At 46.5% G+C, this 21,742-nt stretch overlaps 1 annotated feature.

Moving 5' to 3' along the window:
* Positions 367-939: an enhancer, noted in NCBI's record as "NANOG hESC enhancer chr16:48995358-48995930 (GRCh37/hg19 assembly coordinates)". NCBI's record gives its function as "activates a minimal SCP1, AML or CMV promoter by ChIP-STARR-seq in naive H9 embryonic stem cells {active_cell/tissue: H9 hESC(naive)}" and the evidence as "EXISTENCE:reporter gene assay evidence [ECO:0000049][PMID:30033119]".

Here is a 21,742-nt window from a genome sequence, read left to right as displayed (position 1 = left end):
ATGAAGGATACTAAGGTCAAAGGAGGCACCAAGCCTGAGGTCTTACCCTGTTCGTGATGCCTGGTAGGTGCTCAATGCATTCTCATTGCATGAGCAAATGAATGAATGAATGAATTAATTAATTAATAATGGAAGCCTGAGGCTTAAAGCCTCAGGAGGAATTTGGAGGAGACCACCAAATCCAGCGAATGGCATAGTGAGAGTGGGGAGGACTGAACAAAGACAAGCACAGAAAATCAGGATCAGTGCTCACCTCCATTCCTGTCTGGCCTGGAATGTTTAAATTGGCTTTAAGTCTTTGGCTCTAAGTCCTTTGGCAATAGGAGTCCCAGAGAAGGATAAGATGGACCTGGGACAAGACAAAATAAAAGTTTGGCCATTGATGGTGCTTGCCAGGTCCGACCCGCAGACCCTGGCCAAATGACGGATGAACAAATGCACTCAGACACAGGTATCCAGTGAAAGAGTGGGCTAGGGAACTGGGCTGATCACAGACCTTGAGGAAGGTGCTGTAAAGAGTCAGCAGCCACAGCCCTGACCAGCTGGAGCTGCGGGCATTAATTCAGTGTAGATTTAATGACAAAGGCCTTGAGTCAACATACTTGTTGGTAATTGCGGGCAGATGATTAAAGGCCAGGTTTCTGGAGACATGAGTAAACAAGCTATTCAGATAAACTCCCCTGTTTTCTTTTGTACCTACTTCTCACCCTTTGCCCCAGGGTAAGAACCGCCACCTTTGGCTCATTCTCCCCCAAAGCTTTGCAAAACCCCCTGGCATTCCAAGAAGGTTTGCGTTTTTCCTACAATTTCTCCCACCACTCTGACCTACAGTTGCTTCTGGAAGATCTTGGCCAAAAGGGGGAGAATGTAAACTAAAAACACAATACTAAGCCCCTCCATTGATGGAATGGACACCTTCTTGGCCAAGGGGACCCCAGAGAAAACTTGAAAACTGAGTTTCAGCCCTGTCCGGGGGTTGGAGAGTCAGACACACCTTGTTATAACCCCTCCCTCGCTAAGATCAGCCGTTCTTCCCTAAGGGCTGAACAGAAACCAGCCCTTTCAAAAGATGCCCCCCCACCCCCACTGACATAAACCAACTGCCTGACACTGCCCCTCCTTTTTTGCCTGATAGGAGACCATGGAATGGTTCTGACCATTCTACAGAGAACACATAGTAAGAATTTTCATGTCCTCTTTGTCACCTTTTGATGTCGGAGGGTCGAAAACTCCACCCTTGGATCGTGCTAACACTGCCATTTATAGTACATGGCACCCATGAAAGGGCATGAAGCTCAACTGTGCATGCACACATTTCCCCTTCTATAAATACTCATGACTGCTCCTGTGGTGTATTGAATATGTATATCCGGCCACACCACTCAGCATTAATTCCTGTTTCTCTTGTCCCTCCCTTGAAGTATCTGTTTCTGGCTTCTGGTTGGAGGTTGTGCTTCGCAGCCTATCAGAATGGCCACCCTGCAGGCTGCAACCCTTTATGAGAAATGGGGCTCCCCTTCCCAAAATAAAAAAAAAAGGAAAGAAAATCAGGATCAGTGTGGAGAGATGATGCCTGCAGCTGCCCAGCATCCATGCTCTCTTCCTCTGATAAGACCTTGATTTTCCTTTGTAGAAGCCACCCTTCTCCTCATTGTATGTAGTTTGGGTGGAAATGCCAGTCAAAGTAATTCCAGCAAAGGGCCAGGCAAATCACAACCAGCCCCATTAATCTCTCTCTCATGACAATGTGGACCTTGAGCAGAGGGACACAAGGGCCAAAAGCACTGGCTGATGGTTCGTGCCACCAGGAGTGCCTTAAACAGAGGCCCTGTTCCCTCACCCACCAGAACCGGCCTGGTCCATCTCCAGGCTCACTGTCAAGTACTTCCTATGAGCAATCCCATATTCTTATTAGAAGTTTTTGTTTTTTATTTTCAGTTTAGATGAGCAGGAGTGATTTCTTTCTTTCTTTTTTTTTTTTTTTTTAAGGCAGAGTATCTCTCTGTTGCCCAGGCTGGAGTGCAATGGCACGATCTTGGCTCACTGCAACCTCCACCTCCTGGGTTCAAGCAATTTCTGGCTAATTTTTGTGTTTTTAGTAGAGATGGAGTTTCACCATGTCAGCCAGGCTGGTCTCTAACTCCTGACCTCAAGTGGTCTCCCCTCCTTGGCCTCCCAAAGTGCTGGGATTACAGATATGAGCCACTGAAAGCAGCCGAGCCAGAGTGATTTCTGTCACTGGCAACCAGATAATCCTAAATAGTACAAGACCAAAGGTCAACAAGGTTGGAGAAGATATTAGGCAGTCTCCCAGCTATTGCCCTAGAAAGTGTGGCTTGCTGTATGCTCTTTGGTGGCCCAATGTGAATCTGTCTGGTTTTTGAGACCTGGAGACTGGACACCATCAGGTCTCTCTGCAGTACTGTTCATAAATGCTGAGTCAGCAGAGTGGGAGCAGTCACTAAGAGCTCCATCCTGGACAGTTGTGCCTCCAGTCTCAGACCCACTGGGACCTGGTTCTTCTAAAAGGGGGCTTTGGACACACAGGGTGCAGCACTCATAAAACATAAATTTCCTCAGTGCAATGAACACAATTAGACATTTTCCTTCTGCTTCCACTGAAAACTGACACCCCAGTGTCCAACAGGGCATGCAGATTGCTGTAAGCAGCTACTTGACAGATTTCTCCAGGAAATTCTCTCTCTGGCTCTCACTTTATCTATCAAGTAAAATCCTCCCACATCTCTATCAGACAGGCTTTTTAAAGAGCATCACTGCTTCCTTGTCCCACTCCAAGCAGCTCTGAAGTCTCATTTGAGAGAATAAGAAAGAGCAGGACAGACAGAGAAAGAGAGAAAGGAGGCAGCAGGGATGGAATAAGTGAGAGGAGCAGGTGACAGGGCAAGGGCTGAGATTCTGAGGTCACACCAGGTCTCCTTTGATGATGGACAGGGTGGGAAGGGTGCCAGGGAAGTGATTCAGCAGACAGTTCACCTAATGAGCTGAAGTCATTAGCAGAGTCCTGGAGTCACGAGGTGCATTCATTTGGTTTGTTGGTTTCCAGGCCCAGAGGCATGCTCCAGTCACTTATAGAGGTTACATAGGATTAGTGTTAGAATACAGGGCACGATAGGCAAAGCTGGCCAGCCCCACACCAGGACACGAGACAGGCAGGGGCAGGTAGGTGGCAACTCCAGCACCTGGGCCTCTAATTACCCTCTCCCTGGGACCCTCCTTGACTCCCTAGTCCCAGTGGCTCTCATCTACTGCACCGATTCATCTGTGCTCGCTCTTGGCTCCCACCATTCCTCTGCCACTGCCTCTCACCTTCCGTGTGTCCATTTTCCTCCTGCCTATAGTCTTCTGATGTGGCTCTTTGTCTCACTCCACCTCCTTCTACTGACTTCTCATTCTCCATAGCTCAAGTTCAAAGTACTTAAAAGAGAGGTTATGATGGACTGGCCCATTGCCACATTATCTAGGAAGCCCTGGACAGCAGAGTTTACACATCGACTTTGCTGTGGTTTGCTGGCCTGCCTGGGATTGGGCTGCTCCGCTCGGATCCAACCAGCTGCCAGGGGCTGTGCAACTAGATGACAGTTTGTTCTCTAGCTGTTTGTTCCTTCCAGTGTCACTGTCGCAGAGAATTCTGAAGGTTCCATCCAGGGAGCATCTGTCAGTGACATTGGGGACCAGGAGGGCCACTGTGTGGGAGCAGCAGCCAGTGACCATTCCACAAAAGAGGTTTGAAAACCCAAAGACAGCTGGTTGTCTGAGATTTCAGAACCTTTAGAGACCAAGGGGACCAGTCAGGCAAAATCTCTCACATTAATCCACAGGGCTTCTGAGTCCTGCAGGCTAGACAAGAGGGAGTACCTGGGCCGGAGCTTCTGTTCTAAGCAGGTGGATGAGGAGAAGAGGCTGAAAACTCAGGCCTCAGGTCTCAGGACTCCTACAGCTTTGGACTCTATTTGCTCATCTTTACAATGGGATAACGATAGCACAGACCACCAGGGGTTGCAGTAAGAGTAGCTAAAATCATGCACGAATGTTCCTACTCAGTGTCTCACCCACAACAAAGACTCTGTGTGGCTTGCTTTTTAAAAACGATTTCAGCTATATGAAAATGATTTTATTTAAGATTTGAGATGTTTATTATGATGATTATTACTAAGAGCCAGTGCATTCTCCCAGAAGAATTAATCTGAGCAGAATGAGAAGTGGCTGAGAAAGCAACTCTGCCAAGAAAATAAGCCTCACTTTGCCATTCCATCCCTCCTTTTGTTTGCACCAACTAATCCCCCCAGGTTAGAGGCCTATGAAAAACATTATAACAAGACTCACATGGAGGATTATTAATCCTTCATTTTCAACTGTTGCAAAGTGGCACTCTCCCTTCTGAGTCGCCTAAAGCCAGATTGGCTGAGCTCTGGGGCTGGACCTTTTCACCACAAGGACAACATTCTCCAGAAGAGGAGCAGCCTCGAGCTACAGAAAAGGCTTGGGGGGGTGGGGGTAGGGGCCTGCCTGCTGGGCAGAAGAGTGCCCTCTCCTTACTTGTGCCCAGCCACAGCCACTGCTGTGTGCTGGGAGGTGGGATGGGTGGGTGGGCAGGGGAAGACCAGAAGCAAAACTAGAGCTCCTGGGGGTGGGGGAGCTTCTCAACAGTCCTGTTGGCATGACAGACATGGAAGGTGGTCAGTCTTCCCCTTTTCCAACACAATCAGAGAACCTCGTTCAGGAGAACCAGCTTAAACCTCTCCAAAGAAAAACGCCCTCCTCAAGATGGTCTCATAATTCTAATGTTTCTAGAATAACGAAAAGACAAATTTTAAGGTGGTGGATACCTCAATTACACTGATTTGATCTTTACAAATTATATGAATGTATTAAATTATCACATTTACCTCAAAAATATATACAGCTGGTATGTGTCAATATTTAAAAAGCCTGTTTTTATTATTGTATTATTATTTATTTTTAGAAAACAACAACCATTTATTTTTTTAATTTATTTTCTTTCCATAGGTTTTTGGGGAAACAGGTGGTACTTGGTTACATGAATAAGTTCTTTAGTGGTGATCTGTGAGATTTTGCTTCACCGATCACCTGAGGAGTATATACTGAACCCAATTTGTAGTCAAAAAAAGCCAATTTTATACAATGGTCTCTTTATGAAGCCTCCCTAAACCCTTTCTTTCCTATTTCCTTAAGTCAATCTCTCCTTCCCTTTCCCTGACCTTTCACATCCTCTGGTTTTGAACTGAGCTCCTGGTCTGCAGGCCTGACAGAGTCAGAGAAACTAAGGCAGGACCTCCTCTTTGTCGATAAGGGAAGTCTCAGACCCAGAGCAGGGAAAGAGCTTGCCAGGGTCACACAGCAAGTAGTGGCAGAGAAGGGGAAAAACGAGGTCCCCAAGCCCACGTTTTATCTCACTCAGGGGAGTTCCCCAGGTGAATCTCATATAACATTACTTCTGCCCCATGCTAATCCAAACAAAATCCAAGTATAGGGGCCTGTAATCACAGGTAGCACTAGGCTGAGCAGGGATAAACACATTTTCTTAATGCAGGACTTCTCAGAGCCTTTGATATGTTATGGTACATAGGAAAACTCCTGGGGCAGGGGGCAGGGCACCAGAATCGACAGTATTTTCCACATATTTGATTTTTCTTTCTGGACATCTTGCAAGCTAATGTCCAGCAGAATGCACACTGCAAACACCATTCCACACCATGCGTCTCAGACCCAGACCCAGGAATAGTCACCCCTTCCAAAGTGTCTGCCTGGAGAAAGCAGCTCCTTTCACATAAGAGATTGGGCTGTGTGTCTTGAAAACAGGAGCCTCTAGAAGCGAAGCTACAGCATAAAACAAATTCAAACCAACAGAATGCGCTTTCTCTCACCTTAATTTGGGTCCAGTGCCCCATGTTTAGTGAAATATTTCAGGATGGAAGGAGGTGAGGAGCAGAAGTGTCTGCCCTGATCCTGAGACTCCCCCTGCCACACTCAGCCCAGAGCAAATTAAACCAGGGGCCCCTGCAATATGCATGAGAGAGAGCACTAAAGGGCTCCAGCCTGAGCCTGGGCCACTGCAGTCATAAAACACAGCCAGTGGATGTGAAGCTGCAGAACAAAAATACCTTGTAGCCATTATTTTCATGAGTCTCTTCCCATCCACACACCCCCTCTTCCATTTTTTTAATCTGGAGCTACTGAGAATTGGTATTTCTCACCTTTGTAATATGAGAAACAAGTTAATTAAAATCAATCCCAACTCCAGTCTCAGAACATCACTGCTTTGGCTGCAAATCTGTCAACAGTGTATTTTGATAGCAGTGCACGAAGGTGGTTATTTGGAGACACTGATAATTGCATTAATTTAGGAAGCATTAGCTAAGCCCGACGATTAATTACACAGGCAGCTGACAGAGCTGTAGCCACCAGATAGCTGGAGGAAAAAGGTGGAAACTCCAGCTCCCTTTTATACAGATCCAAACACTGAGAACACTCAAATAACCAGAACTGTGCTCATTGCTCATGAAGGTTTACAATGGCGAACACGTGGCACACTCGAACCTTGAAGGTCTTTCTAAATCCCAAAAGAGAGATTAGAGAGCTATTGGTATAATGTTCATTTAAGAGAATTTTGTTGGACTTTAATCCTTTGAAATCTGGTCATTTATAAGGGGTATTTGTGCCATATCTTTTGGAATCAGAATTTCTATTTAATTAGTTTTGATCCCATTTCCCTATTCATTAACCAGTTTGAAATTAATAGAAATTGTTTCTGTTTCTTTCTTTCTCTTCCTCATTTTTCACAACACACACACAGATTCATGTATATGTGCATATCTTTTCTATGAATACTATGACAACATGCAAGTATATACATGGGTAAATAGTTTTAAAAATTGGAAAAGCAAAAAAACCAGCCCGAATAAAAAAAAGTTTAAATGCAAGAAAGACAGAAGACGACATGGGGAGGAGGTAGGAGTGTTTTCGTTTCTCCTGTCATAGGCCCACAGCTCCCCTTTCTCACCTACTGAAATCTTACCCATATCTGAAGACCCAACTCAAAAAGCCTTGCTTTTTCTTGAGAATTTCACAAATTTCACAAATGCCTGATTGGAATGCCAGAATCTTGGGACAGTGTCTGAAAGTATTTCTGGCAAATTTTTGAAATATGATCTGGTCCATACATGAAATGGGAACTAAGATTAATGTGGGTCATGGCCGGGGCATGGTTTCAGAAGGGATCCCCTGAGGTGGGTGTTAACCCAACTCTGCAGAAATCAAAGCTCAGAGAAGTGAAATAACCTGTGCAGCATTCACACCTGCCTGACTCCAAAGCCCAGGCTCTTGGCCATTGTGCCACTCACTCCTCTGCACTGAGATTCTTGGTGTCCAGTGGATAAGGGATGATTTTGGTTCTGTCCAGCCTCCAAGGTTCCCTTCTTCCATGGACCCCTGGAGACGCTCTGGAGACTGTCTGGTTTGAACTACTTTGCTTTGGGTCCAGACTGACCACTGTGTATAGAAAGAAAAAAGTCTTTATTTTTTACTCGAGTAATATTTTTATTACTCAAGTAATAAAATGTGAGTACATTATCATTACAAAAAGTTAAATTCATTCAACCATTGTGGAAGACAGTGTGGCGATTCCTCAAAGATCTAGAATGAGAAATACCATTTGACCCAGCAATTCCATTACTGGGTATATACCCAAAGGATTATAAATCATTCTACTATAAAGACACATGCACACATATGTTTATTCCAGCACTGTTCACAATAGCGAAGACTTGGAGCTAACCCAAATGCTCATCAAAGATAGACTGGATAAAGAAAATGTGGCACATATACACCATAGAATACTATGCAACCATAAAAAAGGATGAGTTCATGTCCTTTGCAGGGACATGGATGAAGCTGGAAACCATCATTCTCAGCAAACTAACACAGGAACAGAAAACCAAACATCACATGTTCTCACTCATAAGTGGAAGTTGAACAATGAGAACACATGGAACACAGGGAGGGAAACATCACACACTGGGGCCTGTTGTGGGGTGGGGGGGCCTAAGGGAGGAATAGCATTAGGAGAACCTAATGTAGATGACGGGTTGATGGGTGCAGCAAACCACCATGGCATGTGTATACCTGTGTAACAAATCTGCACGTTCTGCACATGTATCCCAGAACTTAAAGTATAACTTTAAAAAATTCAAATCACCAGAATATTCCAGAAAACTTCAAATGGCACTTTAACAATCCTCTACTCTCTCTCTTCTCACCAGGACTTGCTGCTGTCAACTGTTTGGCTTGTCTGTTCTTCTGATCACCTGTGCACACTTACAAAGATAGGAGTTTTGTTCTGTTTTAAGATCACATCACCTTTTATGAGATGTTTCTTTATTTAATGATATGCCCTAGAAGTGTTTTCATGGTAGTACACGTGGGTGTACTTTCTTTTTTAACACATAGGATTCCAATTTTGCTTTTGCCAAATCACCTTATAAAATATCTCTTTGTGAACACATGCAAATAGATAACCAGGCTAAATTTCCAGGGGCAAAATTCCCAGGTGTTATGGATTAAATTGTGTCTACCCAAAATTATATGTCCTAACCTCTAGCACTTCAGGATATAAATTTATTTGGAAATAGGGTCATTGCAAATGTAATTAGCTAAGATGAGGTCATTAGGGTGGGCCTTGTTCCAATATAACTATTGTCCTTGGACACAGGCATACCCACAGAGAGAATGCCATATGAAATTAAGGGCAGAGATTGAGATAATGATTTTGTAAGCCAAGAAATGCCAAAGATGACCAGCAAACCACCAGAAGTTACAGCATAGGTATGGAACAGAGTATCCCTCACATTCTCAGAAAAAGTAACCCCACTGACACCTTGATCTTGGACTTCTAGCTTCCAGAACTGTGAGACCACTAATTTACGTTGTTTAAACCACTTGGTTTGTGGTACTTTATTAGGGCGGCCCTGGAAAACCAATGCACCATATATGCAGATTTATGCTTGCTGTATAACATCAAATTGCTTCATCCACCTCCCCAGAAAAGGTTTCATCATTTCACACTTCCAGGCACAGTGTGTAAGGCTAGTGGGGGTGGGTGAGGGTCAGGGGGGCTCATACCCAGCAGGTGTCATAGCTTTTCTCACCAACCAGCAGTAAAAGAAAGGGTCTAGATCACCACCTTCGTAATCCCATTTAGGATTGGAACTGAGTCTGTCTTGATTTCATTCCTACCAACCTGATCTTCTGAGCAATATTATCACAACCTGTTTGGAGTGAAGATGGAAAAAATACCTCTCTATGTGACAATATATGCCTTGTAGTGAACCCAAGAAGCGGTGCAGACAGGCAAGGCTCTGAGTTGCAGAGGACAGAGGATTTCTTCCCAGCCAGCACAGCCCATGGTAAAGTGGACTTTAGCAGCTGGAGAGGAGCAAATCAATCTTTACCCACTGGGCACTAAGAGTCTGTCTATGAAGAGAAGTGGGTGGCACAATGACCTAGAGCCTGGGCTTTGGAGTCAGGCAGGTGTGAGTGCTGCACAAGTTATTTCACTTCTCTTAGCTTCAGTTTCTTTTTTTTTTTTTTTTAATTTTTTTATTTTTTATTGATAATTCTTGGGTGTTTCTCACAGAGGGGGACTTGGCAGGGTCATAGGACAATAGTGGAGGGAAGGTCAGCAGATAAACAAGTGAACAAAGGTCTCCGGTTTTCCTAGGCAGAGGACCCTGCGGCCTTCCGCAGTGTTTGTGTCCCTGGGTACTTGAGATTAGGGAGTGGTGATGACTCTTAACGAGCATGCTGCCTTCAAGCATCTGTTAACAAAGCACATCTTGCACCGCCCTTAATCCATTTAACCCTGAGTGGACACAGCACATGTTTCAGAGAGCACAGGGCTGGGGGTAAGGTCACAGATCAACAGGATCCCAAGGCAGAAGAAGTTTTCTTAGTACAGAACAAAATGAAAAGTCTCCCATGTCTACTTCTTTCTACACAGACATGGCAACCATCCGATTTCTCAATCCCTTCCCCACCCCTCCCGCCTCTCCATTCCACAAAGCCGCCACTGTCATCCTGGCCCGCTCTCAATGAGCTGCTGGGCACACCTCCCAGAAGGGGTGGTGGCCGGGCAGAGGGGCTCCTCACTTCCCAGTAGGGGCGGCCAGGCAGAGACGCCCCTCACCTCCCGGACGGGGCGGCTGGCCGGGCGGGGGGCTGACCCCCCCACCTCCCTCCCGGACGGGGCGGCTGGCCGGGCGGGGGGCTGACCCCCCAACCTCCCTCCCGGACGGGGCGGCTGGCCGGGCGGGGGGCTGACCCCCCCACCTCCCTCCCGGACGGGGCGGCTGGCCTGGCGGGGGTTGACCCCCCTACCTCCCTCCCGGATGGGGCGGCTGGCCTGGCGGGGCCTGACCCCCCCCCACCTCCCTCCCGGACGGGGTGGCTGCCAGGCGGAGAGGCTCCTCACTTCTCAGACAGGGCGGCTGCCGGGCGGAGGGGCTCCTCACTTCTCAGACGGGGCGGCCGGGCAGAGATGCTCCTCACGTCCCAGACGGGGTCGGGGCCGGGCAGAGGTGCTCCTCACATCCCAGACGGGGCGGCAGGGCAGAGGCGCTCCCCACATCTCGGACGATGGGCGGCCGGGCAGAGACGCTCCTCACTTCCTAGATGTGATGGCGGCCGGGAAGAGGTGTTCCTCACTTCCTAGGTGGGATGGCAGCCGGGCGGAGACGCTCCTCACTTTCCAGACTGGGCAGCCAGGCAGAGGGGCTCCTCACATCCCAGATGATGGGCGGCCAGGCAGAGACGCTCCTCACTTCCCAGACGGGGTGGCGGCCGGGCAGAGGCTGCAATCTCGGCACTTTGGGAGGCCAAGGCAGGCGGCTGGGAGGTGGAGGTTGTAGCGAGCCGAGATCACGCCACTGCACTCCAGCCTGGGCACCATTGAGCACTGAGTGAACGAGACTCCGTCTGCAATCCCGGCACCTCGGGAGGCCGAGGCTGGCGGATCACTTGCGGTTAGGGGCTGGAGACCGGCCTGGCCAACACAGTGAAACCCCGTCTCCACCAAAACCAGTCAGGCGTGGCGGCGCGAGCCTGCAATCGCAGGCACTGGGCAGGCTGAGTCAGGAGAATCAGGCAGGGAGGCTGCAGCGAGCCGAGATGGCAGCAGCACAGTCCAGCCTCGGCTCAGCATGAGAGGGAGACCGTGGAAACAGGGGAGAGGGAGAGGGAGAGGGGGAGGGGGAGGGGGAGGGGGAGCAGCTTCAGTTTCTTATCTGGAGAATTGGATTAACATCCATTTAGCCCCTTCTGAAACTTGTCCTGACAAGAAGCTTATGTTAGTTTTAGTTCACACACGAATGTGAACACTTCCCTCCACCTGTCTTTAGGTTTACATTTAGCCATTTATCTGACATGACTTTAAAATAGAAAGAAAAGCAAAAGAAAGATGTCGATGGCAATGATGATCATCATCTCTCTCTCTTCTGGTTAAGTGCAGAGGGAATTAGGGAGTGGTGTGGGCATCTTTCTCATGGGTTTTGAGAGAATAACAAAAATGGTGATTAGCTATGGAATCATGTAGAATGTGCTGAAGGTAACAGTTGCCAAGCACATTAAGTCCTGTGATTAATTATTACACAAATGAACACGTCCATTCAATAGACCAGGCTCGGTCAGCCTTTATTTATCCAATAGGGTAACTTGACCCTGTAGGACACCTAGGGCCACAGAAAGATCAGTGGAAGCTGACGCGTATGGTAAATATTGGCCAATATCAAGGGCAAGATGGGATGGGGGTCCAATCAGCAAGTTGTGCTGTGCTTTCTGCTCTGTCAACTCTATTCAAGCAGGCTCTTCTTCTATGGCGGGAAGAAGCTCAGTAAGTCTCGGTTTATATTCTCTGAGTCATCCCAGCAGAAATCATAACTTTTCTCAAAATAATCCAATAACTCTCAAGGATAGCATCTCATTGAGTCAACCTGGATTGTGTGCCCAAGTATGAACTAATTACTATGACCAAAAGGATGGAAATGTGCTGATTGGCATGACCTGATTATATGACAGACCCAGGCTTGGGTAGGTGGGGCCAGCCCCAGGTAAATCCTAGGGACTGAGAGCTAGGGAGGGGGTCAGAGTATGAGGGGCTAATAAATGACCTCCTTCTTTTCCCTGCCTGAATTGAGAACAATTAAAAGAGGATAGACACAGGGTTAGGCATATGGGGTGCAAAATATCACAGGTTTGGAGAATGTAGTTTCATTGTTTGGCTGCAAAGAGCGTCTAAGTATTAAAATCTCAGGAACAGACAGCCCATCACAGGCAGAACTGGATAACTGCAGGTCTCCCCTTTAGGGCCCTGGCCTTGTAAAATTATAGCTTAGAAGACAAAGGAATGTGTATACCCCAAGAGAGAAGGAGGCAGAAGAAGCTGAGCAGATCATGCCCAGTTTCTTCCCTCAAAAGCACCAAACAGATGAGTCACTCCCTCTCCCTGGGGAGGAATGGAGGGCAGGGGAGAGGCTGGGGGACTGGTCTGACAGAGGCCTAGCCACTTGAAAACAAGAAGAGTAAAACTGAGAGCCCCACCACTTACCCTGTATGGGCATTCCCTGAGAGGAAATTCGGGTGATATTGCAAAAGAAGTTAAATCGTCTTGAAACCAGTAAAATGACAGCAGTCCACTACAGACAGAAAAGATAAAAGATGAAATGCCAGCCAGGCGTGGTGGCCCACACCTGTAATCTCAGCACTTTGGGAGGCCAAGGCGGGCAGATTACCTGAGGTCAGGAGTTCGAGATCAGCCTGGCCAACATGGTGAAACCCTGTCTCTACTAAAACTACAAAAATTAGCTGGGCATGGTGGTGGGCACCTGTAATCCCAGCTACTTGGGATGCTGAGGCAGGAGAATCACTTGAACCTGGGAGGTAGAGGTTGCAGTGAGCCGAGATTGTACCATTGCACTCCAGCCCTGGGTGACAGAGCAAGACTCTGTCTCAAAAAAAAAAAAAAAAAAAAATGAAATGCCTTTACATATCTTCTCTCCCAAGGATGCTAAATCACTAATTGTAATACCAAGGTGTATACTTGACATACTTACATATAAAAATGCCTATTCCAGGCTGACTTCGAGACTGAGGATTTCAGACGGTTTATAAAATCCTCTTTTGTAAACAATTATAAAGGAAAACAATATCAGGCACCAGTGTGGTCTGAGGTCAAATACTAAAACTCACAGGTGGCATCACACAAGAATCCTGGACATGGAGTCAAAAGAACTTGGCTCCAGCCCAACTTAGCCCTTCCAGCTTAGCTCTCCTGAACTTCTGTTTCCTTCTAGAATAAGGGTTCTAACCCCGTGGCCCTAGCTGACCTCACAGTATTGTGGGGATCAAATAGGACAAGATTTGGGAAACACTTTTAATAACAATGGTTAACATTTTCACCATTTACCATGCCCTAAGCACTGTTTCGAGAGTTTTACCTATGTTAACTCTTCAAACTCTTCTAGTCTTTTTTTTTTTTTTTTTTTGGTTTCTTTGTTTTTGAGACGGAGTCTCACTCTGTTGCCCAGGCTGGAGTGCAATGGTGCAATCTTGGCTCACTGCAACATCCCCTCCCGGGTTCAAGTGATTCTCCTGCCTTAGCCTCCTGAGTAGCTGGGATTACAGGTGCCTACCACCACGCCTGGCTAATTTTTTCTATTTTTAGTAGAGACAGGGTTTCACCATATTGGCCAGGCTGGTCTCGAACTCCTGGCCTCGTGTTCCACCTGCCTTAGTCTCCCAAAGTGCTGAGATTACAGGCGTGAGCCACCGCACCTGGCCAACTCCTCTAGTCTTTAAAACAAGCTTACAAAGTATGTACTGTTAGTATAATCTCTACCTTCTAGATGAGGAAACTGAGCACAGAGAGGTTGAGAAGCTTGCCCAAGGTCTAACAGACTATAAAGGACACTCGCGGCAGCTGCCATCATCAACAAGGTTGTAACTATTGACAGGCAGGGCTCAGGGTGGTGGCTTGGAACAAGGGCTGTCTGGCCGAGCACAGAGGTGGACTTGCTGGCTCTGTGGCTCTGCACAGAGGAGAGTTTTCTGAGCAAGAGAACCTTGAGGTTTGGGCATGGGAGCATGGGCCGGGGCAGGATATAGAAACATGGCAAGGGCTTAATCTGTGTCTCTTCTAAGCATGGGAGCAGAAGAAGGAGGCAGTTCCTGAATCTGACATGAGCCCCTGGCTTAGCACAGGCAAGATGCCGAGCAAATGTAATACAAGCATTAACACCCTGCCATGGACACTTCTAAGCCCTCTGTTCACAAGTTAACCCTGACCCAGGTACCTCCTCTTGAAACAAGGAGACAAAAGGGGCTAAGATCAGGTGGCCTTATTCAGGGTTCTTAGGAGGCGAGCAAGCAGGTGTCAGGACTGGCCTTAGGTCAGTGGATGTCAGCCTTACCACACAGGCCACACTCACCTTCACTTAGCCTGGCTTCTTTCCTACCCAAACTGATCCCTGAATTTTCTTAGCAGGTTTACTATTAGGGCTGGAACAATCTTTCTGTTGTAGCTTGTGCTTTCTAGAAAGAAGGAAGAACATTCTTCACCGAGGATGCCCAGCTTCCCAAAGACAGAGGGATATAGATGTTCCCTCTGGCTATGAGAGAGAGATTAGAAGAAATCATTTTTTAGCACCTGTCCAAATTGTGGTACACTGTATCAGATGATTTAACTTTGTATTTCAGCCAGTGTTTGATCTTCTGCTAAGATTTGTAGTAAAGCTGTAAAATGACGAGTCACAGTGTTTCTTTTGCCCAAATAAGGATGGCAAATGGCTACTACACACAACCCTACCTTCCCTCTCGTGACAGTGGCAGACATTGCTAATCAATCATGATGCTCTTTCTCACCGACCCTAGATGTGGCCTGAGAAGTCTCAATGTAGCTCTCCAGGCTATCTGAGCTGATGCATGAGATGAAAACCATTTGCTATTTCTGCCAAAGAGGTAGGAGAACCTGGGAAGAACAGAAAACAACAGAGGAGACAGACACAACATCAGATGATGGAGAGGGGAGAAATACAGAGAGAGAGGGAGCCGAGAGCTTTGCCAAGTGGATGGTTCCGGGAGACAAGTGATAGAAAACAGGCATGGAAAATTTAAGAGAGCTGTTGATAAGCTGTAACTCTGGTAACCAAAAAGAAAGTGTTAATGTAACACTTAAAACGTGGACTGTAACTCTTTCAGAGCTGAAAATAAGTTGGGCAAATAGAGTTCTAAAGGGAGCCAGAGATGGTCTGTAGATATTTGTTTGATAAACACAGCAATTGCTTAACCCTGAGCTTTATGACTGGTCAATAACTAAAAATAGATATGGATGATACAGATACACATACAGGAAAACAAACCCTTTCTATGAATACTGAGCATAGATAACATTCAAGCGTCTATCGTGTGTCAGGCAGTATGCCAAGTGTTTTTTCATGCGCTGTGATATAGGAACTATTATTATCCCATTTTACACATGCAGCAACTGAAGCTCATGCATATCCAAGAACTTATCAAAATCAAACAAATAGAATATAGGGGAATCAGAATTGGACTCTAAGCAGTATTAGCCCTGCATCTCTCTCAATAAACAATTACATACCTGTAGCAGAACCCTGCAAAGAATGGGAGAGAGGCTGGCCCAAGTTTTTTCATGTCTGGGGAATTTCTATTCCTATGCATGTATTGTTTGCTTGTTCATTGATTCATTCATTCATTTACTCATAACCAGCAAATCTTTATAGTGTGCTGCTATGTGCCAGGCACTGTGTAGGCACTGGAAATGCCAGGTGAATGGGGTAATGGCTCTGAACTCACATAGCTTTCCTGTCCTTTCCTTGAAATTAAAGAATTGTACAGCAGCTAAAATAAGTTGAATAGGTCCTGCACTTTATAGCTAGGGAAATGAAATTTGGGTTTGGGGATGGCAAGGTCTAGGCAGCCTAGGCTTACTCTGACCAGCTCTGGGCTGAAAAGACACAGTTCAGCCCACCACAAGCCCAGCTCTTGACTTGGTCAGGATCAGTAGAAGTGGCCTCTTCTGGATTGGTTCTGGGAAATAAATTGCTTTCATGGTCAGAAGGGTTCTCCTGCTCCCAGATGATTCTGATGTGCTGCAAGATGCAGTTCCCTGGGATGGGGGGAGACAAATGCACACATCTTAGGTACAGAAATTGGATTGTCCCACCACCTCTGGTCCTCTATCTGCCCCCACCCTCCACCAAACTCTAACATGAGGAAGATATGACACACGGGTGTCCACAGCTCTCTGACCTCTGATGTTCCCTGGTGAGAACCAGTTTAGGATTGGTGTGTGTCAATTCAGCACCTTGCCACACCTTGGGAGGCCTTGCAAAGAAGTCCTTTCAAATTTCACAGGATTACTCCCTCCGCAACAGGCCAGAGCGGCACCAGTGAACCAGCTTGAATGGCCCAGCAGCAATGGTTGTTTAGGCTTATTTCAGAGATTATTTTGAGGAGCTGGTTCAAAAGCTGCAGACAATTTTTAAGTTCATTATAAGTTCAAACTAGCTCAGCGGGCATTAAGGTCTTTTGCTGATGTTATAAAAAAGAAAATTACCTTGGCTCGGTTCATAAATCTATAAAGAGAAAAAAATTGACTTCGTTTGAAAGCAGTTTGGGCTTTTGCAGGTGAATGGATGTTTTTAGTTGATGACTTCATGGGTTCAGGCCCCTGAGGATAGCACTAATGGGCAACATTAGTCCAATTATCCTAACAGGGGTAGGAAGTTACAGCAACTATTTACCTAGACTTTCAGAGTGAGGAACATTCTGTGGAAGGTGGGTATGGTTCCCAGAGAAAAGAAAACCTCCCCACATGACAGAGCCACTCTCAAACTCTTCAGGTTCCCAGAAACCCCAGAGGATAAATGAAATGTCTTACAAACATATCCTAGCAGAAGGTCAATGGAGACAGTTATAAAATGGTGCCTAGAAATGCAAAGGTGAAAACCAAGGGAATGGGAAGCCTCAGGTTAACTTGGACAGGTGACAAAAGAGAGTTTGAGGCTGACCTTCTGCTCCACTGACAAGTAATCTTGCAGGTGGGTGACTGAACCACCTCTCCAGCAGCTGGAAAGAACAACCCCATGGGAGGGGAAGAGTGAATAGACACTCCTTCCAGGGCCCGAACGGGAGTTAAATTCACAGACTTTCCTCCTCCACTAGGTTTTATTAAGTCTGGCTGCTAATTCCCTCCCCTCCTAAGAACTCCCAACTGACCTGGGGAAGGAAGAAGTGTCAGTAGGGGACAGACACCTGGAGAACCTACACTAAAGGATGACGAAGGGTTACTAACCCCCTGCATGAGTCTCATCAGTGGGTCAATGGGGGCCACTTAGCCCACAGGAAGATGATACCCAGTCATCCCATCTGAGGTCGCCCCTCCCCGGTTCCTCCTCATTTGCTCATACTGAGTATGTCCTTTAAGACACTTGTTACAATCTTGCTTATTTATCTTCTTTGTTAATTTGTACTTTTGTCTGTGATCTGTCTCCCAAACTTGAACTTAAGCAAGCAGGGATCTTCTGTGGTTTACTGGCCGTTGTATCCCCAAGACGTAGAACAGGGCCCCAGATCCATAAAAATACTCAAACTTTATTCAACTAAATGAATGCATAAGGAAATGAATGGATGAGTAAAAAATCCAGAACTCTATTCAGAGGTTACAAATAGATGGGGAGGGAGAAGTAGAGGAGGGAGAAATAAGGTCAACGATTCAGATAGGAGAGGGTGGATGTGATGAAATAGAGTGGAGGGTCTGAGCTATCATATCCCGGTCTCTCGGCAGGGCACTCCGTAACACAGGAAGTGTGCAGAGAGGTGAGAGGCAGGTGACAGGAAACAGTGAGGACTGCTAGGGGTACAGCCAGGAGGGGAGAAAGAAGAGAAGAGCCACAGAGAAAGGGATTTGGCAAACCGGGGCAGGGGATAGGTAGGGGGTAGAAAATTGAGTTGTAAAAACCCCTCCAGAGCAAAGACTGCGGGTAGGAGGCATCGTGATCAGCCTCCATCTCTCTGAGGTCGGAATCACCACCTCAAGTCCCAGCTCAATCCCTGGGGCAATAAACCAGCCTTCCTGAGCTTCGGTTTCCTCCTCTGTCAGATGGGGTAACAACAGTCTATGTCTTTGGACTATAATGAAGATTTAGAGAGACGATGTGGGTAAGAGCTTGGCATGGGGCCTGTTTTCTTCCTGTCAGAAGCTGCCATTCTGAGCCAGCTACTTTAGGAGCCTCCCTGAATTCCCCACATCAGTGTGCCTTCCTCACCCCACACAAGCACCCTCCCTTGAGAAATTCATCTCAGGTAAGGGCTGGTAAGAGAAATCGCTCCAGTGTCAGCACCCTTGGGTTTGGCTTGGGAAGGCTGAACCTGTTCTGGTCCACTTGAACGGGCCACAGAATTGTCCTTGCAAAAGGTGGCCTCCTGTCTTCTTTATTGATCTGCACGCTAATGGACATTTCTGAATGGTAATGACTGCAAGCCTAGGCAAGTCTCCCAGGTTCCCTGTGTCCCTTTAACCTTGGAGGTAGGAGGATGACCTTGGAGCCCTCCTGCTGAGGAGTGAGAAATTGGTTTCCTCTGCCTTTCTGTGTCATGGAAGCCACCCTCCTTCCAGCCCCAGAGGATCTTCTGTCACAGGTCAGAGGCTCGTGTTGTGAGAGGCTCAGAGCATTTTTTTCTTTTGAACAAAATGTCCTGGAAAGAAGTTGATGGCCATGCTCTCCAGCAGCCTGGGATTGGCGAGCAGCAGGAACAAGCCTGCAGCACCCTAAGAAGGACTTCATGGCTGTCTGGAGAGAGCCTGATCCCCAGAAAACAACCTGGGAGCTTGCTCTATCTGGGGTGTGTGGGGTTCAGCTGGCCATGCTTTTGCTACTAAGGGTGTGGGCTGAAGTAAGCCAAGCCTTGATTTTCTAAAAGCACAATAAGCATGCATACATTTTCAGCAAGCAAAAATGTCATGCCCAAACAGGATATTTTGAGAGCTTTTTCAAAGTCAAGGATACTTAAAACATCCTGCAGTCCTCTCCTGAGGAGTGTCCAGGGTTCTGGGGGTGCCGCACTCCCCACCCCCTGGTTGGGCTGTCCCAGCCTTGAGTGGAGAGCAGACTCTGTGGACTGTCCCCGGGAGGAGGTGTGCCTCATGGAGCAGTCATGGGCAGGAAAACAGAGGTGAGAAACAGAGGCTCATTCAAACCAGCTCAGATAACAGAGATTTCAAAAAGGTGTGATCGGCCAAGGACAGGAAACCAAGGACACTCAGGCCACATGTTGTCTGGGTCTGGACAGCCAGCATCCAAGACTGCATCTCTGTTTTTTATGGTGCTGCTCATCACTCCTCTCTTCTGGAACATCTGCTCCATCCCCTGGTTGGAGAAAATGCAATCTGCCTTTTTCTGCTGACACGTGACCTCTCTGGTCTTCCAAAATGTCAGCTATGAGACGGCTTGGCTTGCTTTTTACTTTAAGTCTTGCACCACCATAATCAAGACAATATAAACTTGGAGTTAGGAGAATGGGGTTCAGATTCCCACTTTGTCACTTACTATCTGTGTCATCTTGGACACAGTATGCCTCAGTTTCCTCCTCTGTAAAATTGGAATGATAATTGTTTCTGTCTCATAAAGCTAATGTGAGTATCCAATGAGTTGATTCATGAAAAACACTCAGAAGTAGGCCTGGCAAGGAAATGCTTAAAAATACTAGCTATTGTAAACTCCAGGAGGGATGAAAATTCAAATGCCCACAGGAACCAAACAGATAATATAAACCTCTGAACCAGGCATTGAGTGATACAATAAGAGTGGGCAGGGACCATGCCAAACTGGAGAATACATGCCCCAACAAATGTATTCAAGTTTAATTTAAAAAGAAAAGTCAGCAAGCAGGCAAGTACATCTGTATACCTATGGGCCACCAGGTTGAAACCCTGAATACAGTTTATTTTTCTTTAAATTCAAGATAAAGAGAAGTTGATTGGCTCAGTGAAGACAACGGATGGGTACACTGGGTCAGGTCTATCCCAGCCTAATAAGCTGTGACCAAAAATTGGGCAGAAAAGAGCAGGATCCTGACATAGTACAAACAGGGATAGGGAGGGACCTGTGGCCAAGGACAGACTATCTCAGAAACGGAGGCCCTGAGCCAGCCACATTTACCCACCAACACACACACACACACACACACACACACACACACACACACACACACACGTGCCATGTATGCACATAAGGTTTTGGTGATCATCAGAAGTAAAGCAAAGTAGAATGCTCTCTGCCTCTTACTACTATCACCTTTTTAGCATTCATAGACTCCTTGAATCCAAGGGTTGAATAAGACCCTGGAATTCATCTCTCTCTGCTTCTCCCTTATTCAAGAAACCTCTCCACAGTATCCCAGACAAATTCTCTGCTAGATCTAAAATATCTGTTTCAGTCATCAGTGTGTTTCCAGCCAGGGGGATTCCTGAAGTTGTCTGAAAAGCAAAATGGGCCCCTTATTAGCAAAAGAAAGGGTAAATAAGGGCAATGAAATAAAAATAGCAATTGCTCATCCCAGGGATGGCACTGTTTCTAAAGAACACTGCTAGATAGCTCTATTTAAAAAAAAAAGTTCTCCATAATGTGAAAACAAGTCCTGCCTGGCTTTTCCACCCATTCTATTCACTGCTCTTAATTCTACGTTTAACAGTCAAGAAGAAAAATGCTGCTTTCAGCATGGGTTTGAGAGTCAAACAAATCTGGGCTTGAACCAGCTTTGCCTCTTGCACTGTGACTTTGTACAAACTGCTCAATCTTTCTGATTTTCAGTGTTCTAATCACTAAAATGGGGATAATAACTCTATCTACCTTACATTGTTGTAAGGAATTAGCAATATGTGTAAATAGCAGCTCTTCAAGAATTTAAAGATCCCAGTATAGGTGTTCTTATTTCCAGGCTAAAAAGCCTCAACTCCTTTAACCATTCCTGGGGTGCCATGGTATCTAGACTCCTCCCAATTTTAGTGGATTTCTGTTAGCCTTTGTCTGCCTGCTTGGATTGTTTTTCACCTTCTTTGGACAATGGCACTTTGTTTTGTTTAGGGGGGACCACTTTTCCCACTGGACACACACAATCTGGTGAGATCATCAATCAAAGTGCACTGGGCTCACCTACCAGGCTAAGCCAAATGCTGTTCTCCCTTTGAGCTTCCATCCTGAGCTGAGGGATGCAAAGAGCAATTATGGTTGGAGTTCATTTGTCTTGACTGGGGAGATGGTTCAGCTTTCCTGCCATCTTTGTCCTTTCCTTCCTTAGTTCTTTCGGCCTTTCAGTGATTATATGAGCCACTAATCAGTTTTCCTGCTTGTTTGACAGAGTGCATTCCCATTGCTTATAACCAAGGAACACTATTGGAGCACAGTCTAGATGGAAAATTGTGGTTTGTGGAGGAGTTGTGAGTATGTCTGTCCCAAGCTTAGGATGAATTTTGGGGGTCTCATGAGAGGGGAAGCATTAGGAGTGAAGATTAGAATGAAAGTAGCTGGGAGAAAGACCCATTAAAGGGGAAACTCCCGTGCCTGTGTGGGGTCTGAGGAAGCACTTGAGATGGTGGGATTTTAGGGAAGATCTGTCCAGAGGAACCAGTTGA

This window comes from Homo sapiens, chromosome 16, assembly GCF_000001405.40.
Source record: "Homo sapiens chromosome 16, GRCh38.p14 Primary Assembly".
NCBI classification, from domain to species: domain Eukaryota; kingdom Metazoa; phylum Chordata; class Mammalia; order Primates; family Hominidae; genus Homo; species Homo sapiens.
This window is presented reverse-complemented; position numbering and strand designations above follow the sequence as displayed.